Raw genomic sequence first — 11,207 nt, forward strand, 5'->3', positions numbered from 1 at the left:
ACAGAGGGCCTGTCAGAGTAATCAAGGTGAGGACAGACCCAGAATTTAGTCCTGGAGTAAAATCCTCCCAGACACTACCTGGGACTCTAGCCCATCATTTCCCATCAGTTCCCACTTTACCCCCTGGAGTGGATCTCACTGAACAATCCTCCACTCCACACAGGAGATTCCAGGTCAGAGACACAGGGCTCTCTCACCTAAAGCTCACGCAGTCTACCATGGCAATGGGACAACCTCTCTCCTCTTCTCCCTGGCCTGCAGGGCCCTCCACTCAGGCCTCACCAGCAGCTCCACCACATACCTGGGCCGGCAGTTCTCTGTCCCTCCTGAGGGCCCTGGGGAGTGTAATGATCTCATGTAGGTTCACTCAGACCAGGTGTCCCCTTCCCACAATCAGGCTGGTCCCTGCACTAAAGCACAGAGCCACGGTTCCTGAGGGTATTCTGCCACTGCCCAGGGTTGTTTGCCATGAGATGGGAAGTAGGAAAAACAACCTGCAAATTTACATCAGGATTTAGCTCTAAATGACTCCTTACCTCACTTGTACACATCGTCAGATGAGACAAGGTGATGTCTCTTGTGTCAGTTTCCTGTTGATGCTGTGACAAATTCCCACAGGCCAGGCATGTTGGTTTGTGTCTTGGTCCCACTTACTCAAGAGGCTGAGGCAGGAGGATCGCTTGAGCCCAGGAGGTTGAGGCTGCAGTGAGCTCTGATCACACCACTGCACGCTGGCCTAGGCAACAGAGATGACAACTCCATTGTTAACTTAGTGGCATAAAACAACAACGTGTCCACTTGGCTGTGTTCTTCCTGGCAGCTCCAGGGAAAAGTCTGTTCCCTCACCTTTTCCAATTACTAGAGGCCGCCTGCATCCTTAACTTTGGCCCCTTCCTCCATCTTCAAAGCGAGCAGTACAGCATCTTGAAACCTCTCTGTGCTCTGCTTCCATCCTCACTGACTTCCCCGCCTCCCTGTCTCACTTGTATGGTTATTTTGGACCCACCTGGATAAACCACAATAATCTCCCCATCTCATCATCCTTCATTTATCTGCTAAGTGTCTTTGACCATGTGCCATATTCACAGATCTTGGGATGAGGATGTGTGCATCTTTGAGAGGGGCTTGTTCTATCCATCTCTCCTCTCAAGGCCATTTTATCATGATTGTTCACTACAAAGTACACATGGGCACCTGGATAGGGTTATCCTGACTGTGGCATCAGTTTTTGCAGTGACGTCCCAGCACCCTCCAGGTCCTGAGAGAGGGAGACGGAGGGCTCTCCATGCCCCTAGTACCTCTCCACCTTCTCCTCGGTGACAAGCTTAGTTGTTAAGAATAAAAGAGATGTGTCTGGGCGTGGTGGCTCACACCTGTAATCCCAGCACTTTGGGAGGCCGAGGCAGGCAGATCACCTGAGGTCAGGAGTTCGAGACCAGCCTGACCAACATGGCGAAACCCTGGCTCTACTAAAATTACAAAAATTAGCTGCACGTGCTGGCGCACGCCCATAATCCCAGCTACTCTGGAGGCTGAGGCAGGAGAATCACTTGAACCTGGGAGGTGGAGGTTGCTGTGAGCCAAAATAATGCCACTGCACTCCAGCCTGGGTGACAGAGTGAGACTCCATCTCAAAAAAAAAAAAAAAAAAAAAAAAAGAAAAGAAAAGAAAAGAAAAACAAAGAATAAAAGAGATGTGACTGGAAGATCACAACTCACCAGCCCTTCAATCGTTCATGGACATCAGCACCATGGATAGTGACCACGGAAGGGTCATCCCCAGGCACTGCAGCAGGGAGCGCACAGATGGAAAGAAACTGCCGGGAAAAGCTGCCCAGTCTATTCTGCCTGAGAAAGACACAATGAGGGAGAACCTGATTCTTCTCTAATTTATTTGTTGTGAGCCCTGTGCACATGACTAAATGTTAGGGTTGTTGGCAAAGGTTGTTGACGCCCCTGGCAGGGCTGATTTCTGTACCCAAAGTATGACCTTGGAGAGGCTGAGTCTGCTCTGGTTTCCCAGTGAATGTCCCTACCTCTGAGACTCAAGCCATTGTCTCTGCCTACAACACAGTGGGAACTTTTCATGATTAACTTCCGACCCCCGTGCCTGACCTTGGAACCACTACCATCACCCAGCCTGGAGCACTGCCTGAGCACAGCATCCTGTTCCCTGAGCTCCAGCTAAGCCCCTGGGAAGCTGAGCTGAACCGAGCCCCTGAACAATCCTCTCAGTGACTCCAGGCCAGGCCTCGTGCCCCATGTCAGAGGCCTTTGCCATCTGCCAGTCCTTCCCACACAATCCTCCTGAGGGACAAGTGGAGGCCTGAACATCTGTCTCCCAGGGTAGGGCCCAACTTCTCCAGGAGACAAAAACAGACCAGAGTCCTCCCAGTCACCCTCACCCTCCTCATTCCCACCACTTCCCACCCACAGAGGCAACTCTGGTCCTACAGACCCACCCCTGCCCTTCCCAAGAGCTCAGGTCCAGTCAATCAGTGTCCCTGCAGGTCACACACACACACCACTCAGAGTGCTCAGTGGAAGGGTCACTCAGGTCCCCACCGAGAGTCTCCCGTGCTTTGGATGGGTCAGAATCCTCTTCACATCCCACATCTGGGCAGTCAACAAGGTCTTCTCTGCACTGTCCTCGCACCTACAGTGTCTGTCTTGGTCATCCTCGTCATCTTTTCTGAGCACGGCCACAGCTCCTAACAAGTGGGGTTAAGGCTCCTGACAGATAGGGTTAAGGCATAGGACCGTGATTCTGAGGGCTTCTCAGGTCTTGCCTGTTATGTGAAATTAGCATGTACAACACATAGAATTTGTATGTTTACCTCATAATTTTAATGTGCACACCCTTTGATCATTAATTAGTCACATTAAGAAGAGCCTCCCCTGAATCGTGAGTTCTAAGGAGGCAGGAGTACACCTGTCCTGGTCTCTGCTAAGTCCAGTGACAAGCACCCAGTCTGGCACAAGGATGCTTCATAAATACATGTGGAATAAATGAGATCCTCTTACACCCTGCTCACTTCCCTGACTTATGTGACCAGACGGAAACTCCTAATGTACAGGAGAGAAAGGCAGAAATGCTGGAGACCAGCGAGAAAGCTGTTTTTTGAAAGAGCAGCAAGTTCCAGGCCTCTAAAGATACTTCTGGACTTTACGTGGTGCAGAGAAAAAGACAAAACCAATACATTCCCTTCAAACCACTAAAGTGGGTGGGGCCATAGCCTAACTGAGAAAGAAAAAGACCAAGGTAGGGTACAGTTCCCCTAACCCACTTTGTTTCCAGACATCAAAAAATACAGTTTGTGGTCTTGGACTCTGATGTGGAAAAAGTACAAACCAAAAATTGTGTTACCACTAATTTCCTTGCTATGAGCAGTCATGAAATATCAATGTACAACCATACATGCAAAGATACAAATTCAAACAGCACTTCAGTGAACATTCACAGGACCAGTGTCAGAGGTCTGCAAACTAACTACATTTGTTTTAACTTTGAATTTTTAAATAATTGTAGATTCACAGAAACTTGAAAAAAAATGTACTTGGAGGCCCATCACCCTTCACCCAGCCTCCACCAATGTTCACATTTTGCATAACTATAATTCAATGTCAAAACCAGGAAAGCGACATTGGTACAATCTGCAGAGCTTTTTTCATATTTCACCAGTTATACATGCATGTGTGCGTGCATACATGTGTGCATTTGTGTGTGGGTGTGGATGTGCACGTGTGTGTCTCTATGCTATGCGGCTACCACAGTCACAACATCATATGTTGCCACCCCTTCATAACCACAATACCCTCCCTGTCCCATAACTACTTCTGGCAAGCACTAATCTAGTCTACATCTCTATGGTTATGTTATTTCAAGAATGTTACATAAATGGAATTGTACAGTATGTATGTTTTTTTTTTGTTTTTTTTTGTTTGTTTGTTTGTTTTTTGGAGATAGAGTCTTGCTCTGTCGCCCAGGCTGGAGTGCAGTGGCATGATCTTGGCTCACTGCAACCTCTGCCTCCCGGTTTTAAGCAATTATCTTGCCTCAGCCTCCCAAGTAGCTGGGATTACAGGGATTACAGACGTGCGCCACCACACCCAGGTAATTTTTGTGGTTGGCTGGTTGGTTTGTTTGTTTGTTTGTTTGGAGACAGAGTTCCGCTCTTATTGCCCGGGCTGGAGTGCAAAGGCGCAATCTCTACTCATCACAACCTCTGCCTCCCGGGTTCAAGCGATTCTCCTGCCTCAGCCTCCTGAGTAGCTGGGATTACAGGCATGCGCCACCACGCCCGGCTAATTTTTGTATTTTTAGTACAGACGGGGTTTCTCCATGTTGGTCAGGCTGGTCTTGAACCCCCGACCTTAGGTGATCTGCCCGCCTTGGCCTCCCAAAGTGCTGGGATTACAGGTGTGAGCCACCTTGCACAGCCTTGTTTTTTTCTTTTTTAAGTAGAGACGGTATTTCACCACTTTGGTGAACTGGTCTCGAACTCCTGACCTCAGGGGATCCACCTGCCTTGGTCTCCCAAAGTGCTGGGATTACAGGGTTGAGCTACCACGCCCAGCCATCATGCAGTAGGTATGCTTTTGGTTTTTTTGCTTTTTGTTTTTTGTTTTTGCTCTTGTTGCCCAGGCTGGAGTGCAGTGGTGCAATCTTGGCTCACTGCAACCTCCACCTCCCAGGTTCAAGTGATTCTCCTGCCTCAGCCTCCCAAGTAGCTGGGATTACGGGCATGCGCCACAACGCCCGGCTAATTTTTGTACTTTTTTAGTAGAGACGGGGTTTCACCATGTTGGCCAGGCTGGTCTCGAACTCCTGACCTCAGGTGATCCACCTGCCTCGACCTCTCAAAGTACTGGGATTACAGGCATGAGCCACCGCACCAGGCCAGTATGTATGCTTTTGATATTGGCTTTGTTCTATCAGCAAACTTTCCTTGAGCTTCATCCAAGTTGTTGCAAGTATCAAGAGTTACTCCTTTTTATTGCTCAGGGGTGGTATTTCATAGTACTGCAATTTAATCATTCACCCATTGAAGGACATTGAATTCCTTTTTAGTCCTTGGCTATTGCAAATAAAGACACTATGAACATTCACGTACAAGTTTCCATGTGAAAATACTTTTTTCCTTTCTCTGGGAAGAATGCCCAAGAGTACAATAGTTAAGTCAGGTGACAAGCCCATTTTAAGTTTTAAAAAAAATTGCCAAAGTATTTTCCAGAATGACTGGAGCCAGCATGCATGAGTGCACCAGCAGTGTATGAGTGATTCAGCTTATCTGCATCCTCTCCAGCATTTGGTGTTATTATTATTTATGGTACCCCTTCTATTAGGTGTATAATGATATTTCATTGTGGTTTTAACTTGCTTTTATTTTCTTTTTTTTTTTTTTACTGGAGACATAGTCTCATTCTGTCACCCAGGCTGGAGTGCAGTGATGCTGGCCCACTGCAACCTCCACCTCCTGGATTCAAGCAATTCTCCTGCCTCAGCCTCCCAAGTAGCTGGGATTACAGGTGTGTACCACTACGCGCAGCTAATTTTGTAGTTTTAGTAGAGACGGGGTTTCACCATGTTAGCCAGGCCGGTCTCAAACTCCCAACCTCAGGTTATCCGCCCTCCTCGGCCTCCCAACTTGCATTTTTAATGGCTAATAATGTTGAGCATCTTTTCATGTGTTTATCTGCATATTCTTTTTGCTGAAATATCTATGCGGGTCTTTTCCTTTTTTTTTTTTTTTTTTTTTTTTTTTTTTTGAGGAGTCTTACTCCTGCCCAGGCTGGAATGCAGTGGCATGATCTTGGCTCACTGCAACCTCCACCTCCCGGATTCAAGCCATTCTCCTGCCTCAGCCTCCCTCGTGGCTGGGATTACAGGTGCGTGCCACCACGCCTAGCTAATTTTAGTATTTTTAGTAGAGAAGGGGTTTCACCGTGTTGGCCAGGCTGGTCTCGAACTCCTAACTTCAAGTGATCCATCCACCTCATCCTCCCAAAGTGCTGGGATTACAGGCGTGAGCCACCATGCCCAGCCTCTTTTCACATTTTCTAATTGGATTTTTTTTTTTTTTTTTTCTTGAGACGGAGTCTCACTCTGTCACCCAGGCTGGAGTGCAGTGGTGTGATCTCGGCTCACTGCAAGCTCCGCCTCCTGGGTTCAGGCCATTCTCCTGCCTCAGCCTCCCGAGTAGCTGGGACTACAGGCGCCCACCATCACACCTGGCTAATTTTTTGTATTTTTAGTAGAAACAGGGTTTCACCGTGTTAGCCAGGATGGTCTCGATCTTCCTGTGATCTGCCCGCCTCTGCCTCCCAAAGTGCTTGGGAGGTACCTTGTGATCCACCCACCTCGGCCTCCCAAAGTGCTGGGATTACAGGCATGAGCCTCCACGCCCAGCCTCTAACTGGATTTTTTAATGTTGAGTTTTGAGCATTCTTTATGTATTCTAGACACAACTCCTTGGCTGGATATCTGATTTGCAAATATTTTCTCCCAATCTGTATTTGTCTTCTTTTTCTCTTAACAAGGTCTTTCACAGAGCAGAAGATTTTAACTTTGATTTAAAAATTCATCAGTATTTCTTTTATGGATCGCATTTTGGGTGTCAAGTCTAAGAACTCTCTTCTTTCACTTTGTCGAAAATTAACGCACATACCTGTGCACACCTATTTCTAAGTCCCCTATTCTCTCCCATTGATATATGTGTCTATCCCTCAATCAGTCCCATGTTGTCTTGATTACTATAACTATATAGCAAGCCTTATGAGGAAGAGTGATTTTTCCCATCTTATTATTCCTTTTCCAAATGATTTTGGCTATTTTAGGGCCTTTCCTTTTCCATATAAATTTTAGAGTAAGCTTATCTAGGTCTATGAAAAAAAATTGCTGACATTTAGCTAGGAATTGCATTAATGTAGATCAATTTAGGGACAATGAACATCTTTACTGTCTTGAGTCGTCCAATTCATGAACACATGTCTCTCCAAGTATTTAGTTCTCCTTTGATTTCGTTCATCGGCATTTTGTAATTTTTATCATATAGTTCCTGTACATGTTTTGGTAGAGTTATGTCCGAGTATTTCATTTTCTCTGGAGCAATTGTAAGTGGTACTAGGTTTTTATTTTGGTTTCCACTAGTTCATTGTCTGTATACAAAAATGCAATTGAATTTTGCATGTTGATCTTGTATCTTGTGACTTTATTGAACTCACTTATTAGTTCTAAAAGATACGTTTTTGTAAATTCCTGGAGATCTTTTACATAGATAATCAAGTCATCTTCAAATAGAGACAGTTTTATTTATTATTTTCTTCTTCTTTTTTACTTTTCGAGACAGGATCTCACTCTGTAGCCCAGGCTGGAGTGCAGTGGCACAATCTCTGCTCACTGCAGTCTCAACCTCCCAGGCTGAAGCAATCCTCCTACCTCAGCTTCCTGAGTAGCTGAAACTACAGGCACATGCCACAGTGCCTGGCTTTTTTTTGTTTTTATTTTTGTTTTCTTTTTTTTTTTAAGACGGCGTCTCACTCTGTCACCCTGGCTGGAGTGCAATGGCGTGATTTAGGCTCACTACAAGCTCCGCTTCCCGGATTCACGCCATTCTCCTGCCTCAGCTTCCCGAGTAGCTGGGACTACAGGCGTCTGCCACCACATCCGGCTAATTTTTTGTATTTTTAGTAGAGATGGGGTTTCACCGTATCAGCCAGGATGGTCTCGATCTCCTGACCTCATGATCCACCCTCCTCGGCCTCCCAAAGTGCTGGGAGTACAGGCGTGAGCCACCATGCCAGGCCGCCTGGCTTTTTTTTGTAGAGATGGGATCTCATTATGTTGCCCAGGCTGGTTTCAGACTCCTGAGCCCAAGCAATCCACTCACCTCGGCTCTCCAAACATCTGGGACCGCACCCAGGCATGCACCACTGCACCCAGCCTATTTCTTACTTTCTTTCTTTTTTTTTTTTTTTTGAGACACAGTCTTGCTCTTGTCACCCAGGCTAAAGTTCAATGGCACGATCTTGGCTCACTGCAACCTCCACCTCCCAGGTTCAAGCAATTCTCCTGCCTCAGCCTCCCAAGTAGCTGGGATTACAGGCGCCCACCACCATGCCTGGCTAATTTTTGTATTTTTAGTAGAGACAGGGTTTCGCCTTGTTGGCCAGGCTGGTCTTGAACTCCTGACCTCAGGTGATCTGCCCGCTTCAGCCTCCCAAAGTGCTGGGATTACAGCTGTGAGCCACCGCACCTGGCCCTATTTCTTACTTTCTAGTCCATATGTATTTATTTCCTTTTCTTGCCTTATTCCAGTGCTGAAACTTCCAGTAGTATATTGAATAAGGATGATGAGAGTGGGCACCCTTGCCCTTTTCTTAGTATTAGAGGGAAAACATTCAGTCTTACACCATTGAAAGTGCAACCAGGCATGGTGGCTCACACCTGTAATCCCAGCACTTTGAGCGGCCAAGTTGGGCAGATAACTTGAGGTGAGGAGTTCGAGACCAGCCTGGCCAACATGGTGAAACACCATCTCTACCAAAAATACAAAAAAAAAAAAAAAAATAGTCGAGTGTGCTGGCCTGCACCTGTAGTCCCAGCTACTCAGGAGGCTGAGGCAGGAGAATCACCTGAACCTGAAAGGAGGAGGTTGCAGTAAGTGGAGATGGTGCCACTGCATTCCAGCCTGGGTGACAGAGCAACCCCTATCTCAAAAACAAAAAAATTTTTAAGGAATGATGTTAAATGACAGAAGATGAGAAAGACAGCAGAGTAAGTCTCTCCAGCCATTATCTCCCAGCAGAAACATCCATTTGAGCAACTATCCACACACAAAATTACTTTCACAAGAGCCAAAAAAAAAAAAAAAACTCGAACACACGAGTGAAGCTGGGAAGCGCCCTTGGACCACAAAGACAAGCAAAACCACGGTTGGAAGGTAAAGGGATCAGTTCTCTGTGCTTGCAACATGCCTCCCCTCAAGCCATTATGGCACCACACGTGGAAACTCCCCATGGACCCATGATTTTTACACTGGAAAAACTGAGCTAGGGGTGGACATACAGATTCCCCATCATTCCGGGCCCCTCCACAAAAGACTCACTCCTGTATTGGCCCATAGAGAACACTGCAAGTACCTAAGGCCAGTTAAAGACAAAAAGAAGGGGTGGGGTTGGGCAGCCACTGCAAGGAATTTGGCAGTGGCTCTCCATCCCTGCCAGAGGAGATGCTGCACCAAAGACACTGTTTACAGAAACCATGCTGCAGGAAGCATGGTCCACAGATCCTCTGGCCTTGAGGGCCTGGCTGGTTCTCCACAGGGCCCAGGTGCCCTCTGTGGCTCTCCCACCTGCCCCATCCAGGTCCGACATTTCATCAGCAGTGAAGCTAGTGCCAGACTCGCCTCTAACCTGGGCTTAGGGTACCCCCTAGTGTTGAAATGGAAGACAACAGTCAGTCCACTCACAATTTCTAAATAAGCCCACTGAAATAGAATGGTCACAAACAAACTCAGGCTGTAAAGACCGTAATAAACACCTAATTCACCAATGCATAGATAGAGACGCAGATCTAGGAATAAGAATAGCCTAGGAACGTGCCTCGTCAAATAGACAGAACAAAATGCCAATGAATTATCCTAAAAACATGCAAATGAATGGTCTGGCAGGCAAAGAATTCAAAACGGCTGTTTTAAGAAAACTCAGAGAACTTAAAGAAAACATAGAGAAACAATTCAGACGTTTGTCAGAGAAATGTAACAGCGAAAGTAAAATAATAAGAAACAAACAGAAACCTTGAAGCTGAGAAGTACAATATGAAATGAAAAATGTGCCGGGCGCGGTGGCTCATGCCTGTAATCCCAGCACTCTGGGAGGCCGAGGCGGACGGATCACGGGGTCAGGAGATCGAGACCATCCTGGATAACACGGTGAAACCCCGTCTCTACTAAAAATACAAAAAATTAGCCGGGCGTGGTGGCGGGAGCCTGTAGTCCCAGCTACTCGGGAGGCTGAGGCAGGAGAATGGCGTGAACCCGGGAGGCGGAGCTTGCAGTGAGCCGAGATCGGGCCATTGCACTCCAGCCTGGGCGACAAAGCAAGACTCCGTCTCAAAAAAAAAAAAAAAAATGTGTCGGGCATAGTGCTGCATGACTATAGTCTCAGTTATTCAGGAGAATGAAGTGAGAGGATCACTTGAGTCCAGGAGTTTGAGACCAACCTGCTCAATATAGTGAGACCCCCGTCTCTGAAAAAATAAAAAATGTACTGTGTTCATGGACTGGAAGAATTAATATTGTTAAAATGTCCATACTAACCATGATGAACTACAAATTCAACTCAGTCTCTAGCAATATTTCAATGGCATTCTTCACAGAAGTAGAAATATAGGCCATTCGCAGTGGCTCGCGCCTGTAATTTCAGCACTTTGGGAGGCCACAGTGGGTGGATCACTTGAGGCCAGGAGTTAAACTACACTGACCAACCTGGCCAATCCCATCTGTACTAAAATACAAAAATTAGCCAGGCACGGTGGTGCATGCCTGTAACCCCAGCTACTCAAGAGGGTGAGGCAAGAGAATTGCTTGAACATGGGAGGCCGAGTTTGTAGTGAGCCAAGATGGCGCCACTGTACTCCACCCTGGGCAACACAGCAAGACTCTGTCTCAAAAAAAAGAAAAAAGAAAAATGCTCCCAATACTCTGGGAGGCCGAAGCAGGTGGATTACCTGATGTCAGGAGTTCGAGACCAGCCTGGCCAACATGGTGAAACCCCATTTCTACTAAAAACACAAAAATGTGCTGGGTGTGGTGGTGTGCACCTATAATCCCAGCTACCTAGGAGGCTGAGGCTGGAGAAATTTTTTATTTCCTTATTAATTTCTTCATTTACCCATTGGTGGCTCAGTAGTATGTTGTTTAATTTCCATGTGCTGGTGTGTTTTCTGGGATTCCTCTCATTATTAATTTCTAGTTTTATACCCCTGTGGTAAGAAAAATATACTTACGCCCTGCCTGGTGGCTCACGCCTATAATCTCAACACTTTGGGAAGCCAAGATGGGAAGATCACTTGAGGCCAGGAGTTCAAGACCAGCCTGAACAACATAGTGAGATTCCATCTCCACAAAAGTAAAAAAAAAAATTAGCTGGGCATTGTGGGGCACTCCTGTAACCCCAGCTATCTGGGGGGCTGAGCGAGGAGGATC

The sequence above is a fragment of the Homo sapiens genome, chromosome 19 (genome assembly GCF_000001405.40).
Source record: "Homo sapiens chromosome 19, GRCh38.p14 Primary Assembly".
NCBI classification, from domain to species: Eukaryota; Metazoa; Chordata; class Mammalia; order Primates; family Hominidae; genus Homo; species Homo sapiens.